The 19,717-nt window shown below is 42.9% G+C and overlaps 1 protein-coding gene across 1 annotated transcript in view; it reads left to right on the top strand.

The window, feature by feature from the left end:
- Nucleotides 1-7,681: 7,681 nt before the first annotated feature.
- The window catches only part of FAM3B (FAM3 metabolism regulating signaling molecule B), a 53,486-nt gene continuing 41,450 nt past the window's right edge, over nucleotides 7,682-19,717 (top strand). The window contains exon 1 of the mRNA XM_011529649.3: nucleotides 7,682-7,750. Within this exon, the coding sequence (XP_011527951.1) occupies nucleotides 7,690-7,750 (61 nt within the window). The 5' untranslated portion in view covers nucleotides 7,682-7,689. The remainder of the gene's footprint in view (nucleotides 7,751-19,717) is intronic.

Raw genomic sequence — 19,717 nt, forward strand, 5'->3', positions numbered from 1 at the left:
GCTGGTCTGGGGACTATACCTTGAGTTTCAGGAGTCAGTATAGCCTCTTTCCTCCATCCTTTATTGTTAAACTCAGTGGTTCTCAACCAGGGCAATTTTCCCTCCTAGGGAGACACTGTCAGTGGTCACAGCTGGGGCATTGCCCCTGACCATCTAGTGAACAGAGATCAGGGATCTGCTCAACCTCCTACCATGCACAGGAGAGACCCCCCACAGCAAAGACTCATCCAGCCCAAAATAGTGCTCAGGCTGAGGAACCCTACATACTAACTCAGCAGGTCTAATTCTGTCTATACATTAGAGTCCCTAGAGTTCTTTTAAAAATATATAAATTCCCAGGGCCCCTCCTGGACAATGATGTTAGAATCTCTGGGGGTGGCACCTTTGTTCTGTATTCTTTAGATGTTCCCTATGATTCCAATGTGCAAACCCAGCTGAGACCCAACGGCCTCAACCAACATTGACTCCAATGGAGGAAACTGTGGGCTGTATAACAGGGTTGGTGTGTGGGAACTTTGTATGTCCCATACAACTGCAGAGCATGCATTCTGTTAACAGCAGCTGCCATGGTGTGGAGCAGCCTGAGGACAAACAGCTGAGTGGTCTGCTCAGTCAGGACCTGGGGAATCTGAGGCCTTTCCCAAGTGTGCTTGGTGGTTCTGACTGGGCCCTGATGCAAAGGACAGGGCCAAGGCCCTCATGTGTCCCCCTTTCCAAGAGACCCACTCTACCCTAAGTTTATCACTATTGGCTTCAGGTAGCATGGAGACTACAGGACATTTTTTTCATTTTATCTTTATTAAAACTATGAAGGTGGACAGTTAATCATCATCTTAATCATCTGATCATACAGGTGAGAAAAATCAGAGTCAGAAAAAATAGGTGAACTAGCCAGAAAAGTAGCAAAGCTGACATCAGAACCAGAATTTACAAATTCAAAGCAAATAGGCCACAGCCATTGTAGAAAACAGTATAGAGGTGTCTCAAAACTTGACAAGTAGAACTACCATATGATTTCTGGCAATCCCACTACTGGATATACATCCACAGGAAAAGAAACCAGTATGCTAAAGAGCTGCGCTCCCATGTCCACTGCAGCACAGTCACAGTAGCCAAGATTTGGAATCAACCTAAGTGTTCATCGACAGACGAATGGATAAGAAAATGTAGTATATATACACAATGGAATACTAGTCAGCCTTATCAAAAGGAAATCCTGAACCTAGAGGTCATTATGGCAAGTGAAATAAGCCAGGTACAGAAGGACACGCTCCACCTGATCTCACTGATATGTGGAATCTAAAAATCTTAAACTCATGGAAGCAGAGAGCAGAACAGTGCTTACTAGAGGCTGGGCATAGAGTTGGGGAGATGTTGGTCAATGGATACAAAATTTCAGTTAGGAGGATGAAAATAATAAGTATGTGAGGTCACACATATGATAATTAGCTCAATTTAGCCATTTCACAATGTATGCATGTTTCAAAACATTGTGTTGTATACCACAAACATACAATTTTTATTCATCAATAATACCTTAACTAAAGAGCTGCTGCACAGCAAAATAAACTATCAACAATAAACAGAGAACCTACAGAATGGGATAAAAAAACTCACAAACTGCATTTGACAAAGGTCTAATATTCAAAATCTATAAAAACTTAAATAATTGAACAAGCAAAAAACAAACAATTCCATCAAAAAATGGGCAAAAGACATGAACAGACACCTCTCTAAAGAAAACATACAAGTGGCCAACAAACATATGAAAAGTGCTCCATATCACTAATAATAAAAAATGCAAATCAAAACCACAGTGAGGTACCATCTCACACCAGTCAGAATGGCTATTATTAAAAAGTAAAAAATCAAAACAAAACAATAGATGCTCTCTTGGCTGCAGAGAAAAGGGAATGCTTATACACTGTTGGTAGGAATTTAAATTAGCTTAGACATTGTAGAAAGCAGTTTGGAGATTTCTCTAAAACTTAAAACAGAGCTACCATTCAACCCAGCAATCTCACTACTGTGTATATATGCAAAAGAGAACAAATCCTTCTACCAAAAAGACATATGTATTCGCATGTTCATTGCAGCCCTATTCACAATAGCAAAAACATAGAATTGACGTATGTGCCCATCACTGTTGGATTGGATAAAGAAAATGTTGTACATCTAGACCATGGAATACTACATAGCCATAAAAAAGAATGAAATAATGTCCTTTGTAGCAACATGGATGCAGCTGGAGGCCATTATCCTAAGCAAATTAATGCAGGAACAGAAACCAAATATTGCATATTCTCTCATGTGTAGGAGCAAAACACTGGGTACTCATGGACATAAAGATGGTAACAACAGACCCAGGGGACTACTAGAGTGGGGAGGGAAGGCAGGGGGAAACGGTTAAAAAACGAATTGTTTGGTACTATGCTCAGTACCTGAGTGGTGGAATCATTCATACCTCAAGCCTCAGCATCACACAATATACCTATGTAACAAGCTTGCACATGTACCAGCTGATCCTAAAGTAAAGGTTGAAAAAAAAACTTGATTGAAAACTGGCACAAGATAGGGATGCCCTCTCTCACCAATCCTATTCAACATAGTGTTGGAAGTTCTGGCCAGGGCAATCAGGCAGGAGAAAGAAATAAAGGGTATTCAATTAGGAAAAGAGGAAGTCAAATTGTCCCTGTTTGCAGATGACATGATTGTATATTTAGAAAACCCCATCGTCTCAGCCCAAAATCTCCTTAAGCTGATAAGCAACTTCAGCAAAGTCCCAGGATACAAAATCAATGTGCAAAAATCACAAGCATTCTTATACACCAATAACAGACAAACAGAGAGCCAAATCATGAGTGAACTCCCATTCACAATTGCTTCAAAGAGAATAAAATACCTAGGAATCCAACTTAAAAGGGATGTGAAGGACCTCTTCAAGGCGAACTACAAACCACTGCTCAACAAAATAAAAGAGGACACAAACAAATGGAAGAACATTCCATGCTCATGGATAGGAAGAATCAATATCATGAAAATGGCCATACTGCCCAAGGTAATTTACAGATTCAATGCCATCCCCATCAAGCTACCAATGACTTTCTTCACAGAATTGGAAAAAACTACTTTAAAGTTCATATGGAACCAAAAAAGAGCCCGCATTGCCAAGAAAATCCTAAGCCAAAAGAACAAAGCTGGAGGCATCATGCTACCTGACTTCAAACTATACTACAAGGCTACAGTAACCAAAACAGCATGGTACTGGTACCAAAACAGAGATATAGACCAATGGAATAGAACAGAGTCCTCAGAAATAATACCACACATCTACAACCATCTGATCTTTGACAAACCTGACAAAAACAAGAAATGGGGAAAGGTTTCCCTATTTAATAAATGGTGCTGGGAAAACTGGCTAGCCATATGTAGAAAGCTGAAACTGGATCCCTTCCTTACACCTTATACAAAAATTAATTCAAGATAGATTAAAGACTCACATGTTAGACCTAAAACCATAAAAACCCTAGAAGAAAACATAGGCAACACCATTCAGGACATAGGCATGGGCAAGGACTTCATGTCTAAAACACCAAAAGCAATGGCAACAAAAGCCCAAATTGACAAACGGGATCTAATTAAACTAAAGAGCTTCTGCACAGCAAAAGAAACTACTGTCAGAGTGAACAGGCAGCCTACAGAATGGGAGAAAATTTTTGCAATCTACTCATCTGACAAAGGGCTAATATCCAGAATCTACAATGAACTCAAACAAACTTACAAGAAAAAAACAAACAACCCCATCAAAAAGTGGGCAAAGGATATGAACAGACACTTCTCAAAAGAAGACATTTATGCAGCCAACAGACACATGAAATGCTCATCATCACTGGCCATCAGAGAAATGCAAATCAAAAGCACAATGAGATACCATCTCACACCAGTTAGAATGGCAATCATTAAAAAGTCAGGAAACAACAGGTGCTGCAGAGGATGTGGAGAAATAGGAACGCTTTTACACTGTTGGTGGGACTGTAAACTAGTTAAACCATTGTGGAAGACAGTGTGGCGATTCCTCAAGGATCTAAAACTAGAAATACCATTTGACCCAGCCATCCTATTACTGGGTATATACCCAAAGGATTATAAATCATGCTGCTATAAAGACACATGCACACGTTGTTTATTGTGGCACTATTCACAATAGCAAAGACTTGGAACCAACCCAAATGTCCATCAATGATAGACTGGATTAAGAAAATGTGGTACATATACACCATGGAATACTATGCAGCTATAAAAAAGGATGAGTTCATGTCCTTTGTAGGGACACGGATGAAGCTGCAAACCATCATTCTCAGCAAACTATCGCAATGACAAAAAACCAAACATCGCATGTTCTCACTCATAGGTGGGAATTGAACAATGAGAACACTTGGACACAGGAAGGGGAACATCACACACCAGGGCCTGTCATGCGGTGGGGGGAGGGGGGAGGGATAGCATTAGGAGATATATCTAATGTTAAATGATGAGTTAATGGGTGCAGCACACCAACATGGCACATGTATACATATGTAACAAACCTGCACACTGTGCACATGTACCCTAGAACTTGAAGTATAATTAAAAAAAAGAAAAAAAACTTGAAATCTTCTTTTGTTTCCTCTTTAGAAAGATGGCAGACATTTTTATTGAGTGGATTTTAGAAATTTTCTTGTCCTCTTTTAAAAAAGTGTGCGTGTGTGTGTATGTGTGTGAGCACTCTACTGCTCCTTGCTTGGCTTCAGAAAGAAAAAGGAAGCTTTTGGCTCCCTTCTAAAAGGGGTATTTCCATTGAAAGAACAAAATAAGCCAAGTTCATTGGCACAATTGTTGTAAGGTGATGCAACCAAAGAGTTTTGGATTTGCATTACTAATTGGGTATGCGGTATTGTGTTCTGCAAACAAGATGGAGAACAAACTATGAGAAGGGAACAAGTTTAGTGTTTTTATTTCTCTCAGAAAACTGCTTTTCTCCAGCCAAATCCTGTGCTGATTAAATACCCATATAATTTACCTGTCAATGTTGATGGCCAGGATGATTGGAGGTTTGGCTTCAACCACTCTTTTGGATTCTTGTGATCTAAACTCCAATTACAATTATTGGTTGGAGCCAAGAGCATTGTTATATGTGACAAATGTTCAAAAAATGTTAGCTTATTATTACTCACAGTTGAGTACAGTTTGAGGTCCTTGAAGATCAGATCTTCAAAAACAGAACATTGATATATAACACATAGGTATGGAAGCATCCACTCGAGTAGCCATTGCAGCAAGTCATTTCACTTGAGATTCTGTTCCCTCACTTCGAAACAAGGGCTTGAGGAGCAGACAGCATATAGGGGCTCCTTCCAGCACGTGAAAGTTATGTTGTTCTAGATTTCGATTATCACGGTAATGGAGGAAAAAAAATGCCCCAAAGGAGTTGACCTAAGGGAAACCTAGACATTCTGCCAGCTCTGCATTTTAGCAGGCATTTATTGAACACATACGTGCATACCTGGGAAATATTCCTGATATCCTGAGATATCCAGGAGATATGCCTGATATGGAGTATTTGTATCATATATTTGTTGGTCATTTGTATGTCGTCCTTAGAGAAGTGTCTGTTCATGTCTTTTGCCCATTTTTTTAAATGGAGTTTAAATTTCAGACTGCTGCAGTAAAGCAAATAACATAAACAAAAAAGTTGTTTATGTTATATTTACACTCTACTGTAGTTTATTGAATGTGCAATAGCATTATATCTGGAAAAGTAATGTACATACCTTAATTTTAAAATATTGCTGAAAAATGCTAACAATCAAGTGTCTTCAGCCAATCATCATTATTCTGCTGCTGGAAGGTCTTGCCTCAATGTGGATGGCTGCTGACTAATCAGGTTGTTGAAGGTTGTGGTGGATTTGACAATTTCTAAAAACAGATAACAATAATGTTTGACTCTTCCTTTCAGAAAAATATTTCTCTGCAGCATGCAATGTTGTTTGATAGCATTTGGCCCCCAGTGCAAATTCTTTCAAAACTGGAGACAATCCCCTCAAACCCTGCCACTGCCATATCAACTAAGTTTATATAGTATTCTCAATCCTTTGTTGTCATTTCAACAATGTTCACAGCATCTTCACAAGGAGTAAATTCCATCTAAGAAACTATTTCCTCTGCACATCCATAAGAAATAACTCCTTGTCTGTTCAAATTTTCTCATGAGGTTGTAGCAATTCAGTCACATCTTCAGCCTCCATTTCTAATCCTAGTTCTCTTGCTGTTTCCACCACATCTGCTGTAACTTCCTACACTGGGGCCGTAAACCCCTCAAAGTCATCCATAAGGATTGGAATGAACTTCTCCCAAATTCCTCTTAATGTTGATATTTTAACCACCTTTCATGAATCATGGATGTTCTTAATGGCATCTTGAATGGTGAATCCTTTTCAGAAGATTTTCAATTGACTTTTCCCAAGATCCATCAGAGGAATCACTCTCTATGGCAAGTATGGCCTTATGAGATGTATTTCTTAAACTATGAGACCTGGAACAACCAATCAGAGCTCACCTCCTTGGCCAATCAGGGCTCAGTTGTATTAACCAATCAGAGCTCAGCTATATTGACCAATCAGGGTTCAGCTCTGTCAACCAATCAGAACTAAATAAGTTTCAAGCCTTCATTTGCATAAACAGACCTGATTGGCAACTTGGGAAGGCACTTTTGCTATAAAACCTGGGCCTTCCCTCTGTTCTCTGGAGTGCATCTTAATTTTTACACGTGTGGTGCTGTCTCCCCAGTTTGCAAATTTTTCACTGGAATAAAGTGTCTTTTCTCCAAATTTTTTTTTTCAGAGAACTTGTTCACACAGGGTTGTCACAAACCTTCAGTTTGTAAAAACTACATCTGTAAAGCACAATAAATGGAAGACAAATAAAAAAAGCTATGCCAGTATTTAATTCCTGAGTGTGGATGCAGAGAAATAAACACATATCCTCATTTCCAGGAACCTACAGGCCAACAGGTGCAGCTGGCACCCAAAGGAGTCCTCAAGCCCAGTTTGCAAGGAGTACATGAAAGTACTGTGGGGGTGATGGATGGCAGGCAACGCCAGAAGCGTTTTCACAGAAACGTGGAAATTCATTTCACAGGACCTCAGGACACACCCTCAGACCCCATGTAATGTTCCCAGGATCCCAGCAGGAAAGACCCGGGAGCTGCGCGCCAGGGACCAGAACAGCGAGGAGAAGTCACCAGACCAGACCTCACGTGTGTGTGTGTGTGTGTGTGTGTGTGTGTGGCAGGGGGGGGGTTGTCACAGCCGGAAAGGGTAGATGGACACGAGGGGGGAACACACGGCAGGGGAGGGGCGCAGCAGAAAAGAGGAGATAGACACGAGGGGGGCACACCACAGGGGAGGGGCGCAGCGGGAAAGGGGAGATGGGCACAAGGTGGGGACACACCGCAGGGGAAGGGCGCGGTGGGAAAGGGGAGATGCACCCAACGGCCACACCCAGGGTCTGAAGGCTGGAGAGGCAGGCCATGTAGACCAGATCTGCTTCCTGGGGTCTACTGGCGGAAACTTCCTCATAGACTGGATTCGCGACTGCGCTGTTCCCGTGATCCACTGCGCCTGCGCGGGCGCCTGGCTGGGCTCGGCGGGCATGGCTGGGGCACCCTGGCGCCATCTTTTTCCACCGTGCGAAGGCAGGAGCCCGAGACTGGGTGAGAGGACGCGGGGCTGGCGTGGGGAGGGGAAGGATGGACGGGGCAGGACGCTGCCGCCTGCATCTGGGACCCTGAGCAGCCCGAGGGAGTCGCCCCCGAAGGGCCCCAGGTTGCCTGCACCGGCGGTTTCCCACGTGCCCAGGCACCTCCCGTTGCGGCTGCGCGTGCAGTCGCAGACAGCCCCCAACTCCCGTCTAATTCTCAGCCCCTAGGAGACCCGAGCCTGGCACCCATCTGCACTCATCCCCAGACAGGGGATGGGGCTGCCTGGGCATGGACCCCAGGCTCTGGCCCAAGGCCTCCTGGCTTGCCCCGGCCTGCAGGCAGCGGGTGGGCACTCAGGAGCCCCCGACCCCACACGGGCGACCAGGGACTGCATTCCCAGCAGAGGATTCCAGAACCTACTTCAGGGGGAGGGTGACGCCTGGGGATGGGATCCTCCTGCTTGTCCCTGAAAACATTGGGAGCCATGGAGGCTTTCATCTGGTGCCAGTAGGAACGTTCCCTGGGGGCAGCTGAAAGGCATCTGGAAAGAAGTGACCGTGGGTAGGGAGACCAGCTAGGTGGATGCTATGGTCAACCAGCAAAGGCAGGGGCTGCTGGAGTGAAGGAGGAGAATTTGAGATCCAAGAAGGAAGTGGGATCAAAACAAGGAAGCACACAGTTCCAGGGAGAGATTGGAACTGAAGGGATGACGTGTGGAACCTTGTGACCTCCGCAACACGTTTTCCTCCTTTATTTGACCACGTATATTTTCATTGCTCCAACAATGCAGAAAGGAAATGTGTACAAAATCATGAGTTTCCAGGCTTGAACCTCTTCATCTCCTGGAACCACACTCCAGGTGGGTAGAGGTCTGCAGGCTGAATGAGAGGGGAGCGACGTTTTCAAGCACTTTACAGGGAGATAGAAAAGAAAGTGGGGTTGGTGCGGGTTCCATGCAGAGGTATAGGCGATATGCCCTTGGCTTGAGGAGTGAGGACATGGGGATCAGTAAAGGGTAAGGAGCAGTCCCATGCCAGCCCAAACTACCAACACGTGGCCACTCAGTCTCACTTAGGAATCCCATGGATTTCAGAAATACGTTCTATTTTCTTCTGTTTAGCAGTCTTGGACTGTCATATACATATACTGCTATGAGTTTTTGTTTTGTTTTGCCTTCTTTCTCAAAGGATTTGTGCTTAAGAAAAAAAAACCTGTTTTCCTTGGAATACAGGCATATTTGGAGATATTGCAGATTTGGTTCTAGACCACTGCAATAAAGCCAATATCACAATGAAGTGTGTCATACAAACATTCTGGTTTCCCAATGCACATAAAAGTAATGTCTACATTACTCCATTAAGTGTGAAATAGTATGTCTAAAATACAATGTGCATACCTTAATTTTAAAATACTTTATTGCTAAAAGTGCCAACGTTCATCTGAGACTTCAAAGAATCATAATCTTTTTGCTGGTGGAGGGCCTTGCCTCAGTGTGGATGGCTGCTGACTGATCAGGACGGTGGTTGCTGAAGATTAGAGCGGCTGTGGCAATTTCTTAAAAGAAGACAACAATGAAGTTTGCCACATCAATTGACAAAAGGTTTCTCTGTAGCATGCAATGTTGTTTGATAGTATTTGACCCATAGTGTAAATTCTTTCAAAATTGAAGTCAGTCCTCTCAAACTCTGCCACTACTCTATCAACGAAGTTTATGTAGTATTCTCAAATCTTTGTTGTCATTTCAACAATGTTTACAGCATCTTCACCAAGAGTAGATTCCATCTCAAGAAACCACCCATTTCACTCAATCATAAGAAGCAATTCCTCATCGGTTCAAATTTTCTCATGAGATTGCAGCAATTCAGTCACATCTTTAGGCTCCATTCTTAATGCTAGTTCTCTTATTATTTCCATCATATTTGCTGTAACTGAAGTTACACTGAAGTCTTGAAGTCATCAAAGTTATCCATGAGGGTTGGAATCAATTTCTTCCAAACTCCTTTTAATGTTTTATTTTGACCTCCTCCCATGAATCACAAATGTTCTTAATGGCGTCTTCAATGCAGAATCCCTTCCAGAAGGTTTTCAATTGACTTTGCCCAGATCCATCAGAGGAATCACTCTTTATGGTGGCTGTATTCCTACAAATGTATTCCTTAAAATATAAGACTTGAAAGTCAAAATTACTCTTTGATCCAAGGGCTGCAGAATGGATGTTGTGTTAGCAGATACAGAAACGACATTGATTTCCTTATATGTCTCCATCAGAGCTCTTGGGTGACCAGGTGATTGTATTAATAAATGAACTAATGTTTTCAAAGGAATTTTTTTTCGAAGCAGTAGATCTCAACAGTGGGCTGAAATATTCAGTAAACAATGCTGTAAACAGACGGGCTGTCATCTAGGCTTTGTTTTTCCATTTCTGGACCACAGACAGTAGATGTAGCATACTTCTTTTGTAATTTTTATAGATTTGGGGGTATAAGTGCAATTGTGTTACCTGGATGTTATATTGCTTAGTGGGGAAGTCTGGGATTTTAGTGCATTCATCATCTGAATAGTGTACATTGTATGCAATAGGTAGTATTTCATCCCTCACCCCTTCCTCCTTCCCATTTGACATGCTTCTTAAGGGCCTTAGGCATTTTGGAAAAGTAAATGAGCATTGGTGTCACCTTAAAGTCAGCCCTAACAAAAGAGTTAGCCTGTCTCTGAAGCTTCGAACCAGTCATGGACTTTTCCTCTCTAACTCTGAAAGTCCCAGATGGCACCTTCCAATATAAGGCTGTTTGTCTACATTGAAAATTTGTTAGTGTAGCCGCCTTTATCAATGATCTTAGCTAGATCTTCTGGAAGACATTCTGTAGCTTCTGCATCAGCACTTGCTGCCTTACCTTTCACTTTTGTGTTACGGAGATGGCTTCTTTTCTTCAACCTCATGAACCAACCTCTCCCAGCTCCCAACTTTTCTTCTGCAGCTTCCACACCTCTCAGCCTTCACAGAATTGAAGAAAGTTAGGACCCTGCTCTGGATTAGGCTTTGGCTTGAGGAAATATCATGGTTTACCCAGAGCAATAAAACTTTCTCCATATCAGTAACAGGGCTATTTCACTTTCTTATCATTTCTGTTTTCACTGGGGTGGCACTTATCATATCCTTTAAAAACTTTCCTTTGCATTTATAACTTAGCTAACTGTTTGGCACAAGAGGCCTGGCTTATGGCCTCTATTGGCTTTTAATATGCCTTCCTCACTAAGCTTAATCATTTCTAGCTTTTGATTTAAAGAGAAATATGTGTGACTGTTTCACTTGAATGATTAGAGGCCATTGTAATGTTATTAATTGGTCTAATTCAATATTGTTGTATCTCAGGGAACAGGCTCAAGGAGAGGGAGAGAGATGGGGAATAGCTGGTTAATGGAGCAGCCAAAGCACACACACATATATGGATGAAGTTCACTGTCTTCTGTGGACACTGTTCATGGCACCCCCAAAATAGTCACAATAGTAACATCAAAGATGTCTGATCACAGATCCCCATACCATATATGATAATGCTGAAAAAGTTTGAAGTATTGCCAGAATTACCAAAATGCGCCACAGAGACAGGAAGTAAGCACATGCTGTTGGAAACAAATGGCAGCAGTAGACTTACTGGAGGCAGGGTTGCTAGGAACCCTCAATTTGTAAAAGATGCAGTATCTGCATATGAAGTGAAGCACAATAAAGTGAGGTGTGCCTGTATTTCAAGATGTGTGTCATATAGTTCTTTTTTATACATAATCCCTTACATAACTTGTTTCTAAATCAACACTGAAATTCAGCCAGTTTTTCTCTTGATGTCTTATGACAGTGAGAGATAAAATAACCCATTAACATAACAACCGTAGTGACCACTTATGGGATGCCTCATTTGCATCCAGGATTATTCAAGGTACCTTCTCTCCATTTTCTCACTTAATCCCCACAACCACCCTATGAGATGAGTGTCACTGCCCCTGTTGTGTAGATGAAGAAGCCAGGCTCAGAGAGGTTAAATGGCATGCCCCAAACCACCCAGCCATGAGGGCAGAAGTAGAGGTTCTGGGTAGTGCTCACCCAACTTCCATGCTCTTCCTCCAAACAATCTGTGCAGCTGCCGTCAGCAGAAATGGCTTTAACAAGAGTGAAAAGCAGTAGCAAAGGCAACGAGTTTGGGTGCCAGTCTTTTGATTGTTGGTTTTTGTTTTTCTTTTCTTTTTTTTTTTTTTTTTTTTTGAGACAGAGTTTCACTCTTGTTGCCCAGGCTGGAGTGCAGTGGTGTGATCTTGGCTCACCACAACCTGTGCCTCCTGGGTTCAAGCGATCCTCCTGCCCCAGCCTCCAGAGTAGCTGGGATTACAGGCATGCACCCCTACACCCGACTAATTTTGTATTTTTAGTAGAGACAGGGTTTCGCCATGCTGGTCAGGCTAGTCTCGAACTCCTGACCTTAGGTGATCCGCCTGCCTCGGTTTTTCACACATTTTGCAGTCCAGGCGAGGTGCAAATAAACAGTGAAATGGTCATCAGGTCCCAGGAGTAGGGTTGGGACAAGTAGGAAGAGAAGTGGTGGCAGGGTCACACAGACTCTGGGAGGTCAGCAGAAGCATGTGGATCTTCCCTTGCCCTTGACCTGGTGACCTCCCACTTTAGATTCATCTTCACAAAAGGAGGTATGGGATGTGTTACTGGGACCAAGAAGACTCTGATGCAGGGTCTCAACTTAAGAGACCGAGGCTCTAGCTGAGTGGCCTTGGGCTACACACAGACTTTGTGCACTTCAGTTGCCTAATGGGTAAAAGACAGGGTGGCCAGGGATTTCCACACTGCTCAAGTGAGCACACAGCATCATCCGCCTTCAGGACTAGCTAGTTAGATGATCCTGTAAACTGTAGTACTGATTTATATTCTACTTTTGGTCAAAATCTCTTTTCCAACTGGAGTCTCCTTTTCTGACAAATGGACCATAATAGCTTCAGCCTCCCCTTGGAGCTGTTTTCTTACTTCTGTGTCACTCAAGTTCATGAGAGTTGGGTGCCTTTCCTTCCCACAGTGGGTCACCCATGTGCCAGGGTCTCTTCCTTGCTAGGCTTGAGTTCTGCTTCCGCTTCTTCCTGTCCTCCCATGCTGGCCACGAGCATCATGATGATGCAGAAAACCCATAAGGGACACGTGGAACTGTAGGATATACACATCCCCAGTCACAGTTGCAGATCAAACCATCTAAAACTTTGGATTCTTCCCAAAACCTGCAGTGTATGTTTCAGGGTGCATTGCTGCAGCTAAGAGTGTGAACCCACACCTTTCCAAATGAGAGCCATGGATTTTCTGTACAGACACATTTGGCACATTCAGGAGACTCACAGGGGAAACAGTTTGCAGCAGCTTTACCGGCAGAACCAACAAGACCAGTTTAAAAGCTTAGACGCATTGATCTGAATATTTGATGGCTGTCCTTCCTGAGGGCAATAGTCATGCCCCAGTGCCAGATACCATCACGCTTGGGAACTGGACATTTGCATTACCACCTGGTCCACCCAGGTTGTTTCCCAGAACAAAAGGGGAGCAACCCAAAATGGTGACTTTCCCTCTTTCAGGAGAGCTCAGTTTACCTTTGCCTGCCTCTTCTGGTCCCATTCAGACTCAGAAATTTTTATGTAGGCTAAGCTTTCTGCCAAGCCAGAGTTCACAGGTCTCTGGGTTTCTCATCCTCCCAGCCTGGTGCTGCAGGGAAGTGACTGACAGAGCTATGATTCAGGAAGGAGGGTGGGAGTTTCTACCCAAAGGCAGCCTTGCTCAGCCTCAACATCTTCCTTGTCTCTTGGTTCTCTTGCTCCAGGAGAAGCCTGCGGTCTCTCCACTGTCCTGCCAGTCATCACCCTGGCTCTCCATGGCTATGTTCACAATGAGCCTCACCCCACCCCGGCCCCGCATCACCAGTTCCTCTTGGTGGCACCACGTGACCATACACACTCTTTTGGCCACACAGGAGCCTGTGGGGTCACTGTCTGTCCTCTGCTCATTTGTGGGTTTTCCACTCTTGGTGCTCCCATCTGCAGCTCAGTCCTCCCTAGGAACCCCGTGAGCTACTGCCTCATTTTCTGGATCTTTGCACTAGAATGTGAGTGGCACAAGTTCCATATCTGTGTCACTTTTGTGCACTGATGCATCTCTGAAGTTTACACATTGCCTGAGATCTAGTAGGTGCTTCATCCACATCTGGCTGATTGAACTGAATTGAACTAGGACCTGTACTTCCACTAAGGTGCTCTGTCTGGGTTTCTGGCCCTTCCAAAATGAGCACACCCTTCTCCCAGGTTGGAAGAGCTCTGAAGAGTCAGCCCTGCACCATCCTCTGGTACTCCCAGGGTGCATGCTGGGACACAGAGAGCCTCTTGCTTTCCACGTAGTTGGTCAGCTGGCCCTGATTCTGGATAACATCACCCCTGGCTCAGCAAGCCTGGCTGCTCCCAGCCCTGTAGGGTGAAGGGCAGCTGCATAAGTAATGACAAGTGTAAGTGTCTGCTGGCATGTTTCATGTGTTATCCCATTTAATCTTAACAGTTCCTAAAAGGATATTTTTTCCCCATTTCACGTATTTTTTTAAAAATCTGAGTTTAAAAAGTATTAAATAAGTTGTTCCAAATCTGTTAGTTTGGTGAGGAACCTTGATTGACACCAAGTCTGACTCTAAACCTAGGTTATCTGTCCCTTTCGTTTCCAATGGATCTTCTCAGTGTTTCAGCCAGGCAGTCTAAAGCAGTGGTTCTCAAACATTTTGCTCTCAGGACCCCTTTATACACTTAAAAGTGACGGAGGAGCCCCAGGAGCTTTTGTTTCTGAAGGTTCTGGCTATTGATATTTACTGCATTCGAAGTTGAAAGTGAGGAGCAACATGACAAAACCCTGTCTCTACAAAAAAAAAAAAAAAATATATATATATATATATATATATATATATATATATATATATATATGTATATATACAAAAGTTAGTTGGGTGTGGTGGCACACACCTGTGATTCCAGCTACTCAGGAGGCTGAGGTGGGAGGATCGCATTGAACCTGGAAGGTTGAGGCTGCAGTGAGCTATGATCATGTCACCTCACTCCATCCTGGGTGACAGAGTGAGACCCTGTATTAAAAAAAAAATTAAAAATGACAAATTTTTAATATATTAATTCACTTAGAAATAAAAACAATACAACCATTGCCTGTTAACATAAACATAAATAGTTTTATGAAGAACAGTTTTATTTTCCAAAACAAAATATCTAGTGAGAAGAATGACATTGTCTTACATTTTTGCAAATCTCTTTAATGTCCTTAGCAGAAGACAGCTGGATTCTCAGGGCTCCTTTTGCATTCAGTCTGTTGAAATATGTTGTTTTCGTTGTAGGTGTGGAGAAAACTAGTTTCACACAGATACATAGTTGGAACAGTGAGGAGTACCTTAATACCCTTTTCAGATAATTGTGTGTATTAGTCCATTTTCACACTGCTGATAAAGACATACCTGAGACTGGGCAATTTACAAAAGAAAGAGGTTTATTGGACTTACAGTCCACATGACTGGGGAAGCCTCACAATCATGGTGGAAGGCAAGGAGGAGCAAGTCACGTCTCATGTAGATGGCAGCAGGCAAAGAAAGCTCTTGTGCAGAGAAACTCCTATTTTTAAACCCATCAGATCTCATGAGACCCATTCACTATCATGAGAACCGCACAGGAAAGACCCGCCCCCATGATTCAATCATCTTTCACTAGACCCCTCCCACAACATGTGGGAATTATGGGAGCTACAAGGTGAGATTTGTGTGGGGACACAGAGCCAAACCATGTCATTGTGGATATTATTATTTGATACTGTACCAAAACTTGATGCGTGGTAGTTTACACTGTCATGTTAAAATTAATTGCTCTATCTGGCACTTTGAATGAATCTTTCCCCCTCTAATGATTGTATATATGTATATAATTTTGTATAATGATTATTATACATCCATCATTTAAAAGTGCTGGTTCACTGAGTCACACAGACCTTCCCAGTGCACAGTTGAAAGCTCCACTGTAGAATTCTGAGAGGATGAGAACAAAAAGTGCAGCTGTTGTCTTTGTATTAAGTTTTGACCTTACAAACTCACTCCAGGGTCTCATGGATCCTAGGAGTTCCTGAGTCGCACCTTGAGACCTGCTGGGCTGTAGTATAAATTGAATGATCACTGAATGCAAAGCCCTATGAGAGGATACAAAAGAAATAAAACATTAAGCCAAATATCTTAACATTTAAAAAGAAAAGCATGTACAATTCAGTATGTGAGTCTGAAGAAAGGCAAATGAAGACCTGAACATGTAAGTTATGAAGCAGAAAAAGCCATTCTGGGTCTCACTGTGTGTGTGAGAGTGTGTGTGTGTGTGTGTGTGTGTGTGTGTATGATGTCTGCATCTAACTGTGCTACATCTACATTGTGATGACTCAATGTCCCCAAGCCACAGAGGCACATTGTGCCAGCCTCTCAGGAGCTGAGGGGTGGCTGGAGAGTTTGGAATGACCAGAGGCCTGTGTTGTCCAGTGGGAATGGGGCAGAGAAGAAGCAAGGCTTAGGGGAGGCCTTCAAGGAAGGGCAGGGCAGAGTGTAGCGAGTGGGGAAGTGCAGACCCCACATTGTTGGGACCACAGATTGTTCATCCTAGTCCTTCTGAAGGAGGTGGGAACATCCTGAAGTACGCTCAGCTAATCAGAGCTGAAAGCAGGCTTCTCGAGGCCACTCTAGGCCTGAAATGGCACTTGACCATGCTGACCAGACAGAGCTATGAATGTACCTTCAAAGGTCCAATCCCCTGATTGGCTCTGTCATCTTGAACCATTTGTTTTTTCTTTTTTAGATAACATGTTTTATTGAAGTGTAATTTATATGCAGTAAAATACACAAATCCTTGATATATATAACCCTATAACCTTTTTTATAGGATTCTTGTATATTCACCAAGATAAATACAAAGAACTTTCTGTTGCTCTGGAAAGTTTCCCTTGCTCCATCTTACTCAACACCACCCTGCGTCTGCACTCAGGGGAAACCACTGTTCTGACTTCTGTCACCACAGATGAATTTGATCCATTCTTGAACCTCATCATACAGTATGTATGCATGTCGCATTTGATCCATTCTTGAACCTCATCATACAGTATGTATGCATGTCGCATTTGATCCATTCTTGAACCTCATCATACAGTATGTATGCATGTCGCATTTGATCCATTCTTGAACCTCATCATACAGTATGTATGCATGTCGCATTTGATCCATTCTTGAACCTCATCATACAGTATGTATGCATGTCGCATTTGATCCATTCTTGAACCTCATCATACAGTATGTATGCATGTCGCATTTGATCCATTCTTGAACCTCATCATACAGTATGTATGCATGTCGCATTTGAGAGTCATCATGTTGTTGCCTTTGTCAGTGGGGCATTTTTGTTGTTGTTGTTGTTGTTTTGCTGAGTTGTATTCCACATGAATATACCAAAATTTGTTCCTCCATTTTCCTGTAGATGGAATGTTGGGTTGTATATGGTTTGCTGCTATAATCACATGTGGATACTGTGGACAGAGGGTATGCAGTTTTTTCTCTAGGATCTAGCTGCCATGGATGAATTGCATCCACCCCCACCAAAACAAAAACAAAAACAAAAACATTCATAGGTTGAAGCCCTAATCTTTCAATTAGATGGCTTTGGGGTGGTTGGAGATAGGGCCTTTGGGAGGTAATTAGGCTCAGATGAGGTCATGAAGGTGGGCCCTCATAATAGGATTAGTGCCCTTCTAAGAAGAAACACCAGAGCCCTCACTTCTTCTCTCTGTTTCTCCACCATGTGAGGACACAGTGAGAAGACAGTGATCAGTCTGCAAGCCAGGGAAAGACACTCACCAGGAACTGAATCAGCCAGTACCTTGACCTTAGACTTTCCAGACTCCAGAACTGTGAGAAATAAATGTGTGCTGTTTAAGTCCCCAGAGTATAGTGTTCGTTACAGCAAACAGACTAAGTCTTGCCTAAGGAGACTAAGGCACCATGGCAGGTGCCCCATACATATTTGTTAATTTGATTTTATTTGATCTGTGTCTATTTCAAAGGTAATGTCAACATCAAATGACAATCTAGAGGGAAAAATGTACAATGAAAATATTTTTAAAAACAGTAGTTCTTGCTATTGATGATGTTTTATTTTAAAAGGAATATGTAATTAAAGTAATTTAAGGAAATATGATGCACAACAGTCCACTGGGCAAGGGACTTAAGTGGACATTTCTCCAAAGATGATATACAAATAGCCAACAAGAGCGTGAAAAGATACTCAACACTACTAGCAATTAGGACAATGCAAACCAAAACCACAATCAGATATCACTTCATACCCATTAGGAAGGCTACTATTAAAAAAAAAAAAAGAGAGAGATAACAACATGCGTTGGTGAGGATGTAGAGAAACTGGATGCCCTGTGCACTGAGTGGGATTATAAAATTGTGCAGCTATGGAAAACAGTATGGTGATTCCTCAAAAAATTAAGAATAGAATTATCGTATGATCCAGCAATTCCACTTCTCAGTATGTATCCAAAAGAATTGAAAGCAGGATCCAGAAGAGATATTTGCACACCCATGTTCATAGCAGTATTATTCACAGTAATTAAGAGGCAGAAGAAACCCAAGTGTCCGCGGATGGATGAATGAATAAACAAAATGTGGTACATATGTCCAATGGAATTTTATTCAGCCTTAAAAAGAAAAGAAATTTTGACACATGCTACAGCATGGATGAACTTGGAGGACATGATACTAAGTGAAATAAACCAGTCACAAAAAGACAAATAGTGTATGATTGCGCTTATATGAAGTATCTAGAGTGCTCAACTTCATAGAAAAAGCAGAATGGTGGTTTCCAGGGGCTGGGGGCAAGGGTAAATGGTGAGTTGTGCAATGAGTACAGAATTTTAGTTTTGCAAGATGAAAAAGTTCTGGAGATCAGTAATGTGAATTTATTTAACTCTATTGGACTTTACACTTCAAGATGGCTAAGGTGGTAATTTTAGGTTGTGCATTTTTTAGCCACATTTTTTAAAAATTGAAAACAAACCCAGAGATAAAAGCCTTACCTCTGAAGTCAGGTGAGCTAAAGATGAAGGTAAGATTGGCGGTCAGTTCATTGGTTTAAGGGAGTCGTTCCAACTAGCTGGAGAGTGGCTTCTTAGTATTCTTGCACAGCAGGTCCGAGTGGCATCCAGACTCAAACGGGCCGTGCTCAGGCCCAACGCTGGCATGATTCTTGAGTCATTAGGAAGGATTCCTTACTGTGGAGACCCCTGTCTTCTGGTCCCTCTGGTTTGGGGAGACTGCAGGTGGGGGTGAACTGGAGGAATAAAGCCACATTGTCCACAGGACATGTGTCCCTAGAACTTCCCAGGAGCAAAGACAATGGTGGAGGGAGACTCAGGGCCAAGCCCACCAGGGTGACCCACAGGGTGGATAATGTCCCTGGGAAGGCAGGGCACCTTGGGCTTCTTGAGAGAGCAGAGGCCGGAGCAGAGTAGAACTACCAAGAACCAGCCGGACCCTGGGGCGGGGACTGGGTCTTTCGCAGACCCTGCTTCCCTGGAGCTCTCTTCTGCAAAAGTGACCAACTGGGCTCGGAGTTTTAACTTGCCCTTGTTACCTGAGGCCACTGTGACTATCATGGGTCAAAAGTGCTATAAAAACCTGATGTGTGTTTGGAATGAAGGTGTACCCGTGGATGGGGAGAGAGGAGCTATTCCTGTTTGGGGATCCTGATGTCTTCACACATCTGCCTGACCCCCACTCCTGAAGCTCCTTGGTCATCATATCATATAAAGGAGGACCTGCAGACCCATGCCGTGGCCAGAGGGGCTGGGCATGGCCCTCGCTTCACTTTCCC

This window comes from Homo sapiens, chromosome 21 (genome assembly GCF_000001405.40).
Source record: "Homo sapiens chromosome 21, GRCh38.p14 Primary Assembly".
NCBI lineage: Eukaryota > Metazoa > Chordata > Mammalia > Primates > Hominidae > Homo > Homo sapiens.